The sequence below is a fragment of the Homo sapiens genome, chromosome 7 (assembly GCF_000001405.40).
Source record: "Homo sapiens chromosome 7, GRCh38.p14 Primary Assembly".
In the NCBI taxonomy this organism is placed as follows: domain Eukaryota; kingdom Metazoa; phylum Chordata; class Mammalia; order Primates; family Hominidae; genus Homo; species Homo sapiens.
This window is the reverse complement of record NC_000007.14, coordinates 141210631-141230207: the sequence shown is the minus strand read 5'-3', so window position 1 is coordinate 141230207 and position 19577 is coordinate 141210631. Positions and strand designations below refer to the sequence as shown.

At 45.3% G+C, this 19577-nt stretch overlaps 1 protein-coding gene across 4 annotated transcripts in view, besides 1 other annotated feature; it reads right to left on the bottom strand.

The window, feature by feature from the left end:
• Positions 1-19577, bottom strand: part of TMEM178B (transmembrane protein 178B) — a 437233-nt gene that overhangs the window by 281089 nt on the left and 136567 nt on the right. For all 4 annotated transcript variants that reach the window (XR_001744505.2, XM_017011636.2, NM_001195278.2 and 1 more), the window contains exon 2: positions 17504-17617. Coding sequence is in view for 3 of the 4 variants with exons in the window: in XM_017011636.2 (XP_016867125.1) it covers positions 17504-17617 (114 nt within the window). In the remaining variant the exon portion in view is untranslated. The remainder of the gene's footprint in view (positions 1-17503; positions 17618-19577) is intronic.
• Positions 3921-3990: an enhancer, noted in NCBI's record as "active region_26788". NCBI's record gives its function as "activates an Ori minimal core promoter by ATAC-STARR-seq in GM12878 lymphoblastoid cells {active_cell/tissue: GM12878}" and the evidence as "EXISTENCE:reporter gene assay evidence [ECO:0000049][PMID:35858748]".

The window sequence follows — 19577 nt, the reverse complement described above, 5'->3', positions numbered from 1 at the left end:
AATTATCAGAAATATGATCAAAGATTTATGCACAAGGATTATCATTATAACATTATTATAATGGCCCAAAACTAGTTCAACATAAACATTTAACTTTAGAAGAAAGGTTAAGTAAATTATGTATACTTACATCGTAGAATATGATGAAGTAATTAAAATTATGTTTATGAAGAGTTTGATGACAAGGGAAAATGCTTATCATAGAATTATGAACAAAATTTGGGATACAAAATTATAAAGTATAATTTATGCCATGAAAAGAAATACAAAGAAAAACACAAAGGATATACACCACAACAGTAGTTTGTCTCTTTTTGTTGTTGGTGTTTGTTTTGAAACGGTCTCATTCTGTGGCCCAGGCTGGTGTACCGTGGGGAATTATAGATCACAGCAGCCTCAAACACCTAGGCTCAAACAATCCTCTCCACTATTTTTTTTTTAATTTTTCGTAGAGACAGGGTCTCACTATGTTGCCCAGGCTGGTCTGAAATTCCTGAGCTCAAGTGATCCTTCTACTTCGGCCTCCCAAAGTGCTGGGATTACAGGAATGAAACATCATGCCCAGCCTGTAATTTGCCTATTGATTATAGCATTTCAAGTGGTTGTTTCTGCTTTTCTTTTATACTATTCTGTTGATTTTTTTCTATAATAATTATGTTTCATCTTAATGATCAGGAGAAATAAAATAAGCCGATGGAAAACGCAAGAGAAAATAATAGGAAGGGAAACCATTAATGTAATGAGGAAGAAAAGGATGTTTCCCCTGCTCCATGGAACTGGGGATGGGGTAGGTGGTTACAGGGAAGGATTGAAACCAGAGACTTACAGGATTCAGAGGATGGGCAAATGCATGCTGCCAGAGTAGCATTCGGTGACAATGCCTGACCCAAATTTCCTCCCTCTTTTCAAGATTAGCTGGATTTACTGTTAGGTTTCCGTCTCCCTGACAACTCTTAAAAAATCTTGACCTGAGTCCATGGAATTTTAAGTCTGATTTGGTTCCATCATATTCAGCCTCCAATTGAATCCTACCTGGTCCTAGAAACTTCATACACTGACCCATGAAAAAAAAGTTTCACACACACACACACACACACACACACACACCACACACACACATCATTTTGCAAAAAAAATCCCTAGTCATGTAATCAAATTCCACCCCCACAACCAAAAAAAAAAAAAAAAAAAAAAGATAGTACTGACTCTAATCCATGGACTGTTCAAATTCTGTCTCTGGAGACTCCATCTCACTGAAGGAGATGAATTATAGTCTTGGAAAGCTTCTAAAAGGGGTGCCCCGTCTGTTCAGCACTTACCTTTCACTCAGTGAACTATAAATACTTAATGATGAGGCCAACAATGATGACGAAGTTGATCAATAGTAAGCATGGAGACAGCATTCCATTTCCACACCCCACCAGGATGGATGCCGAGCGAATGGAGGAAAATGATACAAGCCGGGGAGACAGCTGGCTGCTCCTCCACTGCTATCTTCATTCACCCATTGGTCACCCCTAGCTGGTGGCAGCTCAGTGCTCCCAGAGCAAGGGCTTAAGCTGTTATGAGGCTGCACTGGAGATCCTGACAGCCGATATGGAGGGCACCAGCCATCTCCTCAGCAGTGTCCTTTGGCCATGTAATTTTAATAAGCTCAACCTCAAGAAAGGAAAAGGGAGCCTGGGATGGTGTTGAATTATTCACAGCTCCAATCAGGGAAGGCAGAGGAACCCCTCTTCTGAGAGTAAGTGATAGCTACTCATTGATTTTTTTCCCCCTTCATGACCCCTAGATGAGAATCTAGTCTAAAAAAAAAAAGAAAGAAGAAAGTCTATCTTAAATCTGAGTTCGTGAATAATTAGTGAAGTTGAGAATTGTGTTTCAGTTGACATTTTTCTGAAGAGTAATTCTGATATCTTGGACTTGATTAGAAAAGGAAAAAAAAGCAAGGACCTTGGTATATTTAAATTTATTTAAATACAACATATATATGAAAACTATTTTTATGGATTAATGATCATAATCAAAGTGATCTTATTAAATAACACAATAAAAATGATGTGAGACCTGAAAGCCAAAAAGATACACGATTCATGCATTTATTAGATGCCTAAGTTGAATTTGCTTTTGAATGTGATATGTGTGTGCATGTGTGTGTGTGTGTGTGTACACACACCTTATTTCTTTGTATGGACAGAGAAATGTAAGCTATAAGAAAATATAGTTAATTCTTCCCTACACTTCAAGGAAATCTTGCTTTCTAGGATTTTTCTCATATTCCACACCCATAGTTAGTGCTGATAAATGTCTTCCTGGAGATAAAGACAGTCACTACGATCCTTTAAAGAGTGGGTTAGAAAACAGCCACAGAAGCTTCTTCAGGCCTTGTCCATACTCCTCAGAATCCCTGCTGTCCCCTAAAACACTTATGCAAGGGCAACTACCACCTTAGCAGGTGACCTCACCTCCCTATTTTGCGAAGTTCATATCCCCTGCTGAGAGTCTAGTCCAGACCCATTCTCTCAGAGCAGGAATGTCACAATGGCTCCTCACAGTCCGGACTCCGCCCATTCACATCCATCATGCCTGGCTGACAGATGCATTTCCTAAGACCTCCTAAAGTCATCATAAGGCTCATAGGACACGGCTCTTCTGTGAGTTATTTAACCTCTGTTAGCCTCAGTTTCCTCCTCTGTCAAACAGATATAATAATAATATTCACCTCATAGTACATTTGAGATTTCAGTGAATAAGGTATGTCAGGCACTTAGCACAGCCTCTGCACATCTGTCAGTAAGTGGTGATTATTGCATACGAATGCAAGCTCCATGAGGGCAGGGATTGCTGCTCTTCCATCTAATGCCTAGAACAGTGTCTGGTAAGTGAGAGAAACTCAAACCGTTTTACTTGAGTAAATGAGTGACGTATTTTAGGTTCCTTTCAGATGCCACTATTCCTGGCCAGTTATCCAAGCTAAGATGGTCGTTTCCTCCTCTGGATGCAGCCAAAAGCATTTTGTTTACCACACTTCCAGCCCCGGCCTCTGCCGTCCTGAGTCTGTGTCACTGCTCTGTGTTCCCTGGGAGACTTCAGGTTCCCTAAGGTGTCTCTCTCACTGCCCAGCTCCAGTGCTGTCCACACAGCGGACTCTCAGTCCACACTGGGCACTAAGGACCAGCCCTGCAAGTCATTCCAACAACAACCAAAGATGGCTCCTCGTGAACCAGATCTGCAAAGCTCCATCCAGGAATGGTAAACACTAAAAATCCAGGCCTCTCTCCTTCAATTTAATGAGGGATCAAAACGGAACTAGTAATTACTTTTTTCTTTTTCTTTTTTTTTTTTTTTCAGAGTGGTAGTCTCACTCTGTTGCTTAGGCTGGAGTGCAGTGGTGCAACTTCAGTTCACTGCAACCTCCACCTCCTGGGTTCAAGCAATTCTCATGCCTTAGCCACTTGAGTAGCTGGATTATAGGCATGCACCACCATGCCCGGCTAATTTTTGTTTTGTTTTGTTTTAGTAGAGATGGGTTTTAGCATATTGACCAGGCTGGTCTTGAACTCCTGGCCTCAAGTGATCCACCTGCCTTAGCCTCCCTAAATGCTGGGATTACAGGCATGAGCCTCCACGCCTAGCCAGTAGTTTTTAAAACTGTATGTTTCTGTTAGCTCTGCCAAGCTAAACAGTAGCTGTATTTGAGACCTCACCTATGAAACCAGAAGTCCCTATTCTTTTTGATGTAAAGGAATTTTCACTTCCTGAAAATGAAAAGATCTCTTCTGAGTAGGTACTGATGGCAATGTGAGATGAGAGAGGGTGGTGTGTGGGACTCAGGCAACACGGAGACAAAGCCAGCCTTGGGGAGGGTTCTGGAAGGGTAGTCGGCCTGGAGCTACCTACTTGGGGCTGGTGTCAGTCAGCATTGTCATCCACACTCATGAACAACCACCTGAAGAGCAGCTCCTTCCTTCTTCACACCCTCCCCCCAAGAGGGTGTTCCCATGAGCTCTGGGGAGGAGGTGACTTGTGCACAGTAGCTTTTTCTAGTTTCCTTGGCAACTGTGCAGCACTAGAAGCTCCAAGAGTGAGGCAGTGGATGGGGTGGTGGATGGAACACAGATGCTGATGTCAGTCAAATGTGTCACCTCCACACCCATGTTTAGCAGCCTCGTGGTTTCGGAAGCTGACACACACCACACACACCTGATTGCTCATTTCTAATTTGGTGCCAGGCGCCCAAGCAAAGAGCCTCAGGGAAACGTGGCAGAATGGGTCTCACTTTACCAACGTGAACTGAGACTGGGGCCTAAGACTGGATGATCCCAGCACCAAGGACACTGGATGTCCCTTGGTTGGGTTTCTGGACTTCATACAAGCCTACACAGGGCACATCAAGGGGCAAACATCGATCTTGTATCAGGGGCTGGCTACAAGGGACAGAGAAGTCTGAACGTTCATCATGGGAGTTGAGGGTATCCAATTTGGGGGATCCAGTCTAAAAATGACAGATGTAGCTGGGGTAGGGGGCAGAGATGGCAAGCCCATTCAGAGGCAAAACTGACTGGAAAATAGAAAGATGTAAGTCTCCAGCTTTGCAATGAATTCCATTCCAAAATCTCATTTGTTGAGGCAATTATTTAGAATTCAGAACCCATTTCCAGAGAAGTCCTGTCTGTTATAAATGATGACTGGGTTTCTAGCTATCCACAAAAGCCTATTTAACTCATAATGTCAATGAAGTACTATACATTTGCAATGAAAAGGAATAGAAAAAAAAATTCCTGTTGTGATAGCAGTAATTAAATGAAAAAGAAAAACTGAGAAGTGGAAAATAAATAGCTTTCTTTCATTTCTTTTGAACAAATGGACAAAGAGAAGGGTTCTTCACTTACTTTAGATAATAAGATAGAGCCTATGGTGGGGGAGGGGTGAAGGATGGAGCAGGGAGGTCCTTTGGGAGAAGAGAAGGGCAGTAGGCCTGCCGCACGAGATATGTGTGGGGCTCCCTGGCGGTAAGGAAAGAGCATGAATTTTGCAGTCACAACTGTCTGGATTCTAGTCCTGCCTCTTCTTGTAGCTCTGGGGGAAGTATTAGATCTCTTGTCTCAATTCCATCACTGGCAACCTTGATTGCATCAGACAAATGCCCGCATGGTAGGCACTGTGGTGCACCTTCCAGACCTCCCTGCAAGGAAAGACTTGCTGCCAGGTTCTAGAAAGGCTGTCAACCTTTAGCGGTCAATCCCTTTAGAGATTGCTCATACACCCAGAGCCACATACTCAAGGTCACTCCACTTCCAGTGCCTATATCCAAGAAGTGCCCAATGTGGGAGTGTAAAGACCCAGCCATTTCAACCTCATTCAGGAGACTTTGAAGGGTCGCTCTAGGACGAGAGCTCTCCAAGGGGTGTCATCGCACCCACATCCCAGCCTGACTTCTCCTTCTGCCAGAACCTGATTCCTCCCCTGCCCTTCTACAGGCATGAGTCCTAAGGAACTGAACTCCATCTGAGTCCACTTCCCAGGGAACTCAGCCTGCGACAGCCTGGCCCAGAGTTGGCTTGGGTAAATGTTGAGATCTTTGCCCTGCTGCCTCTCTCTCCTTACTTGCAGAGGACACAGATTGACAGAAAGGCCTAGTAACACCCCAAGTAGCTCTGGGATTGGGGCTGCTGAGAGCCCAAGGGCTGAGTGGTGAGCAAGAATCTGGGAACTCAAGGAAATGTGCATTCCTATACCCCGAAAATGGCTGGGGCATCCAGGTCACCTATAAAGTTTTGTTTCTAATGTATGAATGCTTGTAATCAAGAGTCTATAACTTGGAGATCGAATCCGTAAAAGAAATACAAGCACTGCTTGTTTGGAACTGCTCTGTCTGATATGGTAGCTGCTGGCCATGTGTCACACACAAATTTAAGTTGGTTTATGTATTAGTCTGTTTTCACTCTGCTGATAGAAACATAACCAAGACTGGGTAATTTATAAAGAAAAACAGGTTTAATGGACTCACAGTTCCACATGACTACGGAGGCCTCACAATCATGGCAGAAGGCAAAAGGCACGTCTTAACATGGCAGCACACAAGAGGGAATGAGAGCCAAGCAAAACGGGAAACGCTTTATAAAAACATCAGATCTCGTGAGACTTATTCACTACAATGAGAACATTATGGGGGAAACCGCCCCCATGATTCAATTATCTCCCACCGGCCCCTCCCACAACAGGTGAGAATTATGGGAGCTACAATTTAAGGTGAGATTTGGGTGGGGACACAGTCAAACCACGTCAGTTTATAAGTAAAATTTGAAATTCTGTTCCTCAGTTGAAATAGTCATATTTCAAGGGTTCAGTAGCCACTTGTGGCTTGTGGCTATCACACAGACTTACAGAATATTTCCATCACTACAGGGAGTTCTATTGGATGGTGCTGATTGGAACGTTGAATTGTAAAGGACCTAGGAAGGTTTGAACTGTATTCTGTGCCAACCTTCCCCAGAAGGCTCCTCAGATGGATATGCATAGAGAGTGAAACAAGATAAGTACCACTAGGCTTTCAATCCCCACCCCCAAACTCCCAGAACTCTAGCTCAGCACGTGGAAGGCTGAATTCCATGCACAACTACTCTAGGCAAGCCAGAATGACCCAGAAGCCTGCAGGCCTCTTGGCTATGACCTCCAAAGTTAAACCAGAGTTAGATATCAGGGAAATACAAAAAAAAAAAAAAAAAGAGTGAAAACAGCAGAGAACATCAGCTCCAAAGCCTAAGAAAGGAAGGGGTTCTCCTCTCAGAATCATCTGAAGAGGCCCTTCCATGCACCCCAAACATCTTAGCTCTGCCTGGTAACCCCAACTCCATAATCCCATAATCCAATCTATGACATAGCCAGCACCAGAACCAGAGCAAAGAGATGAAAATAAGGGGATAGTAATACAGTATAGTAATGTCACCTCTATGGCCTCCCCTCCACCCTAACCGCAGCTCTTATCCTATTGTTGGGCCCTCCTTTCTCTCTATGTCCAACATTCTTGCAGCATCCTCCTTTCAGATGTGTGTTTTCACACATCTGAAATAGAATAGAAGAGGATCTGATCATAGCAAACGGAAGGCAGGGCCGGGCTAGACAGGCGAGTCTTTTGGTTCCCCTCAACAATTTCAATACGTTGTACTCACATTGTATTTATCTTCAAAGCTCTGAAATGTTACTTTTTAGACACTAAGTACATAAATCTTCTTTTAGAGACTGTTTGTGTCTAAATTGCATTCTTATTGGGCACAACTGATAAATTAAAGAGCTGCTTCTGCTGCTGCTACCACACTGAGGACCTCAAACACTGATAATTCTCTGCCCTGAAACTCCTTTCACAATATGCTACACTTGCCAGTAAATAATAGTCAGCCACTTTCTACTCCTACATTGTAAACACCTAATGCAAGCTCCCATCACACATACCTGTGCAGACAGCAAACCCCCAACACTCACCAAGACAAACAGCCACATACAAGGCCAATTCACCTGCACAGGTTGCACAGAGTCAAACAGAAAAGCCCCTGAGTTGATGAAATGTCATTTCAGAGGCATTCCCCCCAGCTCCCATGGGACCTCAGTATGGGACCCCTGCCTTCCAATAATAATAGCTTCTCATGTTGGCTGGCATCAGACTTTGCAAACTTACTCAGAGATTGTGCATGAATTATTTTACCTAATTTAAACTTTATATTAATCCTCAAGGCAGGTATTACCATCTCTGCTTTACAAATGAGTGTACTGGGGTCAAACCACTTAAATAGTTTCCAAGAGTCATATACCTAGACAGTGGCAGAGGTGGAACTCAATCCAATATCTGCTGGACTCCATGGGGCTTGAATCCTGTTTCCCATTAAAGGAGTACATCAAAAACATAAGATAGAGATTTGGAGGCTAGATATTAGGAAGATTCCCTTAGCTAACACACACAATACAAAACAAAAAATCACCTCCCTCTTCCATGCTGTTGTATTCAACTAACCACAAGAAATATGGAAGGAAAGTAAATTACCAAATCTATAGCCAGTAAACAGACAGCACACAAATACAGGTCCTGCTTCCCTGAGAGGTTGTGCTAATTTGCTATATTCCATCTCCCATCCCAAGCCTACCCATGCTCTCCTGCCCTGACCCTTCTCTGACCACTACGATCCACACCAATGCTCTCCAGACCAAGAGCTCTCAAACCTTCATGTGTTAAAGGTCTTACAGATTCTTGGGTCCCACCCTTAGAGATTCTGACTCAGTAGGTTAGGCTGGGCTCTAAGAATTTGCATTTCAAACAAGTCCCCAGATAATGCAGACACTTCCAGGCAATCGACCCCATCTGGGAAGCACTGCCCTTGACGCTGGTAGGACTTTCATCACACAACATGAACTTGGTTACTTGCTCTGTTACCCCATCCTTGCTCCCAGCCACCTTCCTGCTGCCCTCCCCATCTTCAGAACACCCATCCCCCAAAATCCAGGATCAAACCCAATCACTGTTTGTGACTGGTGCTCTGACTATAACAGCCTCCCACCTTGTTCTGGGCATAGCACACCTGCCTTGTGTGCCCTGGTTCTTATAAGTGGGCTACTCTCTCAGCCACCATTGTCTATTTCTTATTCTAATACCCTTCTATTCCAAATTTCTTGTAAAGCTGGGGCTTTTCTTCCTTTGGCTAAGAGTCCTCCCTGGGAGTTCACTCATTCAGTCTGGAATGCCAAAGTAGCACCTACAGGACTTATACCTGCTGACTGACTTTATTGATGCAGGTATCTGCCTGCTCTGACATCCATGTCTTACCTAACCCAGATTCTCCATCACTGAGCTGTTTCTGCCAGCCAGAGTGCTGAGCACCTGTTCCTGTTCCTCTTCCTCACTGCAGCAGTTTGCCCGGAAGCTGAGCTCAGACTGTCTTAACTTTGAAAAGAATAATCACCTGCCATATTAAGCTCCCTTTTCAGCACCTGGAACTGGGACAGTTCCCCTAGAGGACAAAGAAGAGGCAAGTCCTAGATGATGCCCACTTTTCCCTCGCTGTAAAATGCAGGCCATGCCTCTTACTGAGATAAGGTAGTTTGTCTTATATATTGTTTTTTTTCCCCTGCAATGAATCCTTGCTGATTTAAGTATGGAAGTTGGGACCCATGAAGTGTACATGTCAGCAGCATTAGCCTGCACTCTCTAGGTAGTCTTAAATGTTTAAACATTAAGCAACAAGTAATTTGAGCCCTTACCTGGTTGGCACCTGGAAATATATCATCCAATTTGGGAAGCAGAATACCTTTTAATATCCCCTCCAGCACCCAACATGGGGGTTCTCACAGAACAGACACTCCACAACCATTGAATGAACAAATGAACAAATGGATGAAGGCGGACAGTGGGGTTGTTCTCCCAGTTCTCCTTCATGGTGTGGTGTCCGTATCAGTGCGCTCAGCCAGAAGAAAACCACTTCCAATCTGCAGAAGCTGAGAGAATGCCTCCAGGCCAGACTTCCAACTAATTCCCAGCACAAAATTGGACCTGTGCGTTCACATGAATTGTGGCTTGAAGACTGTAATTATACCAGCACAGTGGTTCTTAGGTTTTGTTCAGGACGTGGATGTTTTTAACAGAAAAGGCTGTACTGTACTCCCTCCCACCCCTACTCCAGGCCTCCTCCCTTCCCTCCCCCTAGGTCATCTCAAAAATAAACTCTCCCTCTTATCCATGTAGAGGGCGCCCTTGTATAGGCAGCCATGCTACAGCGCATTTTAATCACTGACCCCCAGCCAGGCCAGCTATCTAAGTAGGTGGGACCCACAGCTGTACATGCACATGCATTTATTATTTTATTATTATTATTATTATTATTATTATTATTATTATTATTATTATTATTTGAGATGGAGTTTCACTGTCACCCAGGCTGAAGTAAAGCAGCACGAGCTCCACTCACTGCAAACTCCACCTCCCAGGTTCAAGCAATTCTCCTGCCTCTGCCTCAGCCTCCCAAGTATGGCATATGTCACCACGCCCAGCTAATTTTTGTATTTTTAGTAAAGACGAGTTTCACTATGTTAGCCAGACTGGTCTCGAACCCTGATCTCAAGTGATCCAGCTGTCTCGGCCTCCCAAAGTGTTGGGATTTCAGGCACGAGACACCATGCCTGGCCCAACATTCATAATTTTAAAGCGTCTCTACGTTACCTATAATTCCCTTGCCATCATTCCTTGGGGCAGGCCTCCTGAAAAATAAAAATGCTATCCAGGGAAGGTAATCCAAGAACACATTAACCCCCTAACTCAAGCATGTTCATCAAATCAGTAAGCCTGTTCTCCAACAGAAACCTGAGGGAATGGGACAAATAAGAGGTCAGTTTTGACAGGCAGGAAAGCTGAGAGGGAAAGGAAGTGTCCTGGCATGAGTTACTTCTGCAAGAACAGATCTTGGTGCAATATCACATTAAGGGGTTTGTGTTCTCTGCCTGGCCTGGTGCATAAATACCACCAGAGCTCTGGGAGGACAGGCACAAGGCAGTGGGTATACTGAAAGGTTTACAAGATTCTCTGCAGGGGCCGGGTTGGGGCAGAGACACAAGGAATGGTTTGCAAAAAGCAAAGACTTCAGGACTCAAGGCAACCTATGATGACACGCTGTTGGCTGAGTCTTCTTGCTACCAAGTTTTTCTAGTTCTGGGGCAAGGAGGTGGTTTCTTGCTAGTGATGACCCCTGTGGATCCCAGTCTTGCAAGCAAGAGGCAGCTAACAACAGATCGCAAACAGTAAGAGCCTCATACTGGCTGAGCACCGATGCGAATGTGGGAGAAGGAAAATGGCTGATGCTGCAGGGGACCTGAGCTTCTAATGTCTGGGATGTTTACCTCATTAGGCTGTTTTCCATAACATCAGCCAAAAACATGAAGAAAAAAATAGCTGGAGGGACCCTACTGGAGCTCAGGCCTGGATTCTGAGCCCTCACCCTCGGATTCCTCTGAGGTCTGAGATGGGACCTCTAGGCAGCCCCTCCCACTGGCTCGGTTACCTCATCTGCAAAGGAGCCACAACAACACGGGAGGGACTCCTGGGAGGAAACGTCGAGTGATCCTCTGAGCAGCATTACAGCTGACTGAACAAAAAGAGGTGCTTACTGTTGTTATTACTGTTAGTTTCATCCCAAGCCCTTTGGTCCACAGCATTCATCTTCTCATAACAAGGATGGCTGGGGGAGGACGGACCAGGTGTCTAGGCAGCTCCCAGGCTGAGAAAGCCAGAGAGTTCTGAGTGGGAAGAAAGTTCAGAAGGTGGCCATTCTACATTGGAGCAGGCTGGGCTAGAACTGGCCAGCTGAGTCCACTGGGAAAGGGAAGGCAGGTACCATCAGGGAAAGAGCCAACACAAGTTCAGGGTGAGAAGGTTGATGCCAGTGGGGAGGGGAGGACCCAGGGTGGCTGGAGAGAGTCTAGACAGCACCAGGGACCCTGGGGTTCAAGGGCAGGACCCTCTAATTCTGGAAAGGGAGAGGGTGAGGAAGAGGGCACCGGAGAGTCCAGGTGTGGGGGGCCGGGTTGGGCTTAGCCAAGAAACATAAGTTAAGAGTCCTGCCCCAAGATCCACACCAGAGCACCAGGACACGCTGGGCTTCCCACCATACACCAGCCTGGGGTCAGGACTGGTCCCTTAAGACTGAGCCAACCCACAGGCAGTGGTGAGAGATCAAGAGCTGTGGGGACAGGGAGCCAAGTGTGTCATCCACATGTCTGCAGTAAGTGAGACAGTTCTGGATTTTTACTTCTTGTCCCTCCTAGTGGTATGGACACTAAAATGTCCCTGCTCATCCACAAAGTCTTGGTCTCCTGCCTCCCTTCCTCCATCCCCACTGCTCCCTCCCTCCTCTTCTCCTCTCTTCTCCCTCCCTCTGCCAGCCAGGCTGTACCCTGCTTCAGGATGGCTCCTTGGCACTGACGTTCTCTGCCCCAGGTGTGCAAGGATCCACTGTGCTGGTGAAGGCGAGGACCCCCAATGCTGTAGATGAGAAGCCTGTTCTGCCTGGTCCTGGTATGTGCTCAGCTTGCCTGAGGCAACAGCCACAGGGCCGATGAGTGAGCTCGTGTCTGTGTGTCTGCGGGGTTGGGGGTAGGGAGTAGGGAAGTCTCGGAGGGGAAATCGTCTCTCACTCTTTCCCTCCCTGGCCAGCTGGAAATGTGCTGTGTGACTACCCAATCTAATTAGTTGAACCCTCAGTCCTGACAGAAGAAAGCTTCAAAAAACACCTCTGGGTTTCTTGGCTCTCAGCAACTCGAAAGATAGCAGAGAGCATCTGATTGCAGGAAAGTAGAGCTCCAGCTCCCTGATTCTCGCTGCCAGGGGCAATCTACTGGGAGCAAAAACCTCCATCTTGAAAACGCCAAGCAGAATGAGAACATCTGAGCTCACGTCACAGTGAGTCCGCGTCTCAGGGATCTGACCCTGAGGGAACCTTAGTAACAGCTGCCCACAGAGGCTCTGCCCAGCAGATCAGCAGATCAAGGGGCAAAGAAGACCCACTTCTAATACCTTCCAATGGGTGTCTGCCCTGCAACCTCAGGCAGGTATTATTTGAGATGGAGTCTCGCTCTGTCACCCAGGCTGAAGTAAAGCTAATACCTTCCAATGGGTGTCTGCCCTGCAACCTCAGGCAGGCTCTGCTGCCGTGCCCTCTGCCAGCCTCCCTGGGGTCCTCACCTGGGGCAGCCAAGGCCCAGCTCCATGCCATCCCAGTTCCTTCCTGGGACGGATGCACTCACCTCTCAGCGACATCTTCCCATCCCCTGTTTTCTCAGCTTCCTCTGATATAGCCCACCCTGGCTGCCCAGGTCCTGTCGCAGACCCCCCACTCCCTATCAGCCACCTCCCCTTGTTGTGCCACACTGGGAAAGGCCCAGGCCCCACCTGTGCTGAAAGGGCAATGCCTGTGGTGGGGAGAACAAGAGCAGAGCTACTGGGGATGGCCTCAGGAGCTCCTGGGGGTCATGCAAGGACACCGAACTCTCCAAACAAGCACTGCTACCATAGACTGTGGGATATGAAAAGCATATAAAGACATAGTCTAGTGAGAGAGTGAAGCAGCTCCATTTAAAATGCCACCACTTCCCCTGACCTTGTCAATCAGATTCTGTTATATTTAAAACGTAAACCAGACAGCCCACCCAGGAGCAGCACCAGCCCAGCTCATCTCCTGCAGCTGCCTGTCCCCTCCTCACTGGCCAGTGACACTTGCCTGTCCCGCTGTGTCCTGGAGGCAGCCAGAGGATCTGGGTCAGGCATGCAGCTTACCCTTGGAGCCCACAGAGGCAGGATAAATGCCGTTCTACCTCGCTTTGCACTGCACCCCAGGGCACCGCACCACACCACAGCCCACCCAGGGCTGCTGGGACTTCAAGCCAGATAGTGGGTGGGTAGGAAGGCAGATGGGCTGCACCAGGCCTGGGTGGACTAAGGACATGGATCCCAACTCCAAAAGGAATTCTGCCTTTTCCCAGGGTGAGAAGGCGAAAGGCACCCACAGTACCCACCAGCAATCACCTAAAAAGCCAGAGTGAGAACCTGGTCACCAGTTCACCCAGACAACTCAGCATTTGAACCTCATCCACAAAGATCACCCTTCTTCCCTACCACACACACACACACCAGTTCACCTGGACAACTCAGCATTTGAACCTCATCCACAAAGATCACCCTTCTTCCCCACCACACACCCACACACACACACGCGCGCGCGCGCGCACACACACACACACACACACACACAGGCTTCATCCTCTGGCCTTTACTCCCTATGGAGTTTATTCTTTCTTTACAATTAGATTTGTAAGCCTAGTGGCCTCCAGAATCTTCTACCCTTTCACCTGCTAGTCACCCGACCATAAGGTGTATGAGCGCACACACCAGCATTTAAGCCTCCCATTGGTAGGCTTAACTTTTCAAAAACCACAATGTAGTTTTAAACCAAATTGTGCCTTTTCCTACTTGAAAATTTTATTTCTATATCAATGGTTGATGATGAGGCCACATGCAAATTCCTGATGAAAAGTATGTAATTCAGGTCAGGGACAGTGGCTCACACCTGTAATCCCAGCACTTTGAAAGGCTGAGGCAGGTGGATCTCTTGAGGCCAGGAGTTCAAGACCAGCCTGGCCAACATGGTGAAATCCGGTCTCTACTGAAAATACAAAAATTATACAGGCATGGTGGCACATGCCTGTAATCCCAGCTACTTCCAGCCTGGGCAACAGAACAAGACTCTGTCAAAAAAAAAAAAAGAAAGAAAGAAAGAAAGAAGGAAAGGAAGGAAGGAAGGAGGAAAAGAAAGAAAGAGAAAGAAAAGAAAAGAAAAGAAAGAAAGAAAGAAAGAAAGAAAGAAAGAAAGAAAGAAAGAAAGAAAGAAAGAAAGAAAGGAAAGTATATAATTCAAATTTAACCAAAGTCCAAATATTTGCCAGAAAGTGTTTCAGGAAAAAAATCAAATTTCTTTCCTTTGGCAAAAACTATATAGTAGGAAAAATTACAGAATACAAGATATTATGGTCAGATTATAAAATGATAACCAGACCAGGCACGGTGGCTCATGCCTGTAATCCCAGCACTTTGGAAGGCTGAGGCGGGTGGATCACTTGAGGTCAGGAATTTGAGACCAGCCTGGCCAACATGGTCAAACCCTGTCTCTACTAAAAATACAGAAGTTAGCTGGGCATGGTGGCACACGCCTGTAGTCCCAGCTACTCAGGAGGCTGAGGCAGGAGAATCGCATGAACCCAGGAGCCAGAGGTTTCAGTGAGCCAAGATTGTGCCACTGCACTCCAGCCTGGGCAACAGAGTGAGACTCCATCTCAAAAAATAATAATAATAATAATAATAAAGATGATAACCAATCTAGAATGAAAAGAATTAACTTGATTCCACTTAAAGAGTGCAGGACTCTCAAACCAAGTAAAGAAATCAAACTGATTTTTTTTCATTTCCAATGTTTGATCAGGAGTTGGCTAATATTTAATCATTTCTACTTTATTTTAAAGGGGGCTTATGTGCCTACTTCCCACCTAATGTCATCAATATCTGACCTCTAAAAATTAAAATCGACACTTCCTATGCTTCCCCTCTTGCCAGCATTCCCAATTACACTTAGTACCAAATTCAGTTGTGACAGATGCTCACCTGCCCTCTGGCTAAAAATAACTGTCATCGATGTCAGAAATGGCAAATGTTCCCTCTCTCTGCTTAACAGCCCATTAGGCGGCTTTGTGAAAGAGGCAGATGAATCCCTCACCAAAAGGTGGCCTCAACTTCACCCACACCAAGTGCCCGAGACCTTTTCACATATCAATCGTTGAGATGGCTTTTATCAGTTAAAAATAGATCTGTCACCCCAGTTCACAGCATAGGCTGCACACTAGATTTTGCAGAACCCTACAGCACTACAGTTTGGGAATAAGAACCTGGAGACACGCAGGGCTCAAAGAAGACCCCACAAAGCTTGGCATTATCCTCTCCTCTCTGTCTTTGCCAATGCCTCGTGACATGTTTCCAGCGATGCCTCCCTAGGTAATCTCTTTGAATTCCAGGTATCTACAGTGTGTGCAGTCAAAAGAGTTCTACCAGGTTTCCCTGAAGAGTATCTGTGCAATTTACACTAAAATAATTTTCCTTCTTGCTAAAAAATTTCCAAATTATCTTACTTGCTTAAAGCAATTCTACTATATTGTAATTATCACATTGCCTTGTAATTACTTGTATTATGAATGTCTCTCCCCATCCCCCACCCTCCTCCACCCCTGAACTAGAGCTCCCTAAAGAGCCCTCTGTGGCCTCGGTATTCACTGGCACAAAAAGAAACACAGCAACTTTGGTTAAATGGAGTTAATTTGAATTCAAGCTGCTATGTCAATAATTTCTTCCTTCTTAGATTCTGAATCCTATTACGACCCCCATAACTTAAGTTAGATTTCAATGGTTAATCCACAGGACTTATCAATCTTGAACATCCCTTTTAGGCTCCTAAGAAGGGACTATATTAGACCAATACATTGTGGGAAATAAGCAGCTATTGTATATTTCTACATTTTAGTCCTCACATGTCTACCTTGAAAAGGAAATTAATAACCCTGATGACTAGTGTCTCTAAGGCAAATATAACATTGAAATTAAATATGTGGTATGCTTAGCTCAATGCCAGCACATGGGAATCCTCTTTGAACATTAGCTCTCCATCCCCATGTGCTGCTTAGTGTCTCTAGTAATGGATAAATCTTGTAGGGGAAACAGCCCGGTGAATGCTATCTCATCCATTGGCACCTGCTCTATCATTTCAGGCCAGGAGTATTTAGTGACAATCATCTGGACACGCAGCCACAATATACTTCTTGAAACCAATGAATGATTGTTCTGTTTAATTTTACTTGTCTCTTTCACCTCCCACTCCCACCCGAAGCTGTGGTGGTTTAATTAAAGCCAATCCCAAAAGTAGAATACACCTGGTGGGCCTAATCGACGAAAAAGATAACTAAGCACCTATAAGGAGAAGAGAGATGTTTTCCATCTAGAGATCTACCATCTTCAAAGTTTACCAATAAAGGGATCTTTACTGTCAGGAATAAAAGAATCCTCCTTCACATATAGATGAAAACAGAATCTTAACCTTTCAGAATCTGGTGAAAAAAGATGGACTATGAATGCATGACAAATCAACAGAGGCAGCATGAACCTGCTGACAGTAGGAATGTGTCAGCTTGAAGAACTGTGCCTGCAGGAAGCAGAGCTCTCCTGCCACAGACAAGCAATGTATCCCAATGGCGCAGAAAAGTAAAAATAGCCAACAAACTCTGTTTGCTCATGAACTAACCCTCTCGTTGTCATTTAAGTCTCTGAGGATCCCTGGCCAAGAAATGCCCTAACCAATGCACACAGATATTCTGATCTTTGCTGAGGAATTGCACATGAACCAAGGTTCCAAAACCTATCATTTGAGGGTAAACCGTAGCTTTAAAGACCAGATCCTACTTCTTAGTGACCCACCCAGATGCAAATCTCCAATGTGATGCATCCTGCAACCACCAGCTGGTCTCATCCTTTACAAATGCAACCCAAGGGACTAACAGGTTACCACAATAATATTCCAAGCAACTTGAAGACAGGCTGGAATTATTAATAAATCCCAAGAGTTGGTTCAGTCAGGTAGGTGAAATCTTACATGCCTACCAGGGTAGTGAAATAAGATGACTGTCTAATTGCTAGTTGTTTCCGAAGTTTTGACGGTTGGTTCTTTCTTTAATTTTAGAAGCAAACTCCCCAAATTTATAATGCAATCAAAACCAACTGAGGCAATTCTAACCCAAAGATATTGGCACTTTATGGAACCATCTCAATGTTCTGAGACCATCCACAGATCCCAGAAGGAGGCACATCCAATCCTCCAATCCCTCCAAAGGGGACCTCACAGCACAGTCACAGCCACTGAGACTCAGGTGCACTTACGTAGGGCATGCCACTCATCCTGACGGATGGTCTTCGTGATATTGAAAGTGAGGTTCCTGGGGATGGTTGCTGAGGAGTAGTGGTATTTGATGTACGTACATCGCTCAATTTCTCCTAGAAAAGAGAAACAGGAAACAAAATGTTAAGGAAGCAGCAACCACATCTGGACTAGTTCTGGGATTAATTTTTCCATCCTGGAGAAGAAGACTTCTTTCATATTGGGCCTGGTGACAACTACAGAAAGACAATACCTTCAACTCAAAAAGAGCAAGAGAGTAGAACTACAATCAAATAGCATTGATTTAGATGGAAAAATACGTCTTTGGGATCATGCAGAGGTGGGAAGAACCAATGTTTAGGCTGATAGCAGCTTGTCTAACATTCCCAAGAAAATCAACTTTCAAGCCAAGAGAGGAAGTTTGGCATCAAAGGACATCAACAGTTTCCACCCCGGGACCAGCAGACAGCAGGATTTGTTAAGCCTTAATGATATCATTTGTGCTTTGGGCACACACAATTTTCTGGAATGGTGAGCTGGGGGAATGGTGGGTGGGGGCCTCCATCCTCCCATCCTCATCCTCCCAACCTCACCTCTGAACACAAAGCACTCAGATCAATCCGTGTCTCTTTGAACTAGTCTCTTTTCAGGTTTCTTGAACAAAATTTTGATTTATTAACAGACTCAACACCAATCAAAGCATGCTTTACTAGTCGATTGTCAAAATAGATCTTAGATTGTCAAATTTAGATCTTAGGGCAGAGATTCTCAAAGTGTGGTCCCAGGGCTGGCAACATCAGCATTCCCTAGGAACTTGCTACAAGTGCAACTTCTCAGGCTCAACCCCAGACCTACTGAGTCAAACTAGGAAGTAGAGCCTGGCAATCTGAATTTAAATCAGCCCTCCAGGGATTTTATTACACACTTAAGTTTGAGAACCACTGCCTTGGAGAAACTAACAAAATTGCCAGTGTATTAATGCATAAATCCACCCTTTATGTTTGCAAATTCCAAAAGGAAGGCACGGTGGGGAGCTCTTCCCCCATTACTTTTGGTTTCTTGCAGCCATATCTATTGACGCTTGCTCATCTCGGGGATATAAAGACTCAATGTCAGAGCATTGTGAAGAATCAGGAAAGGGGTGATTTTTAAAGGTTAGGGGGTTTTAAATTTGGTTTTGCACCTGAATGGATTTTGATGGTAATCCATTTTGCACCCCACTGATTTTCAATTTATAAGTGGTGCACATGATTGAACTGTTTGACCCCCTAGCCCACTGTCAGCAGGGAACCTGCAATTGGTGAAGTGCAATAATTTAGACAGTGCCTCATGAAACTGATGCCTTATTGTAAATCATATCTGGACAACTGCCCAGTTGCCAGTTATTGGCAGATGCTCCTCCCATGGGACTGACGCTGTCCAAGAGGCACGTTCTAGAGAGTAGTATGCACTCTTCCTGCATCTTCCATTTTTCAACTTTTCTGCCTCTTTTCCTTTAGCCCACAAGCATCCTGAAGCCTCTCACATGTCCCCAGCATTCCCCCTAAGCACACCTCCTCCTCATACCTTCATCCTGTCATCCTCCTTCCTTAACTTGCAAAACTTGTTGAAAAAGGAGTCTACCAGCCAGTCTCCACTTCCTCCATTCACATTCACACCTCCAACCCCACACGCTCTAATTTCCATAACAATTTCCATTAATAGCATCACCTCCCATCCAGTCTACATCATAAATCCTGCAGTCATTGCAAATGCTGCCTCCTCCTCAAGGGCGCCCTGCCTTCCTGACATCCAGCTGGTCACCAAATTCTGCAGGTCTGCTTCAGAAATGTCCCTGGAGTCCAGCACCTACTCTCTGTCTCCCCTCCTCCTGTAGTAGTTGTCCTGATACAGTCAACAATCACATTGTTTAAGGACTTACGAGATAGGAGGGACTCGCCAAGGCTCTGTAGACCACTGGTTTCCAACTTTACTTATGCTATGGTGCACACACAGAAGATGTTTACAAGGCTCCCTGGAGTAAACAGATGAGGCTGCCCATGGCTCTGTCCAGGCTCCTAGGGCACTGAAGGAGCC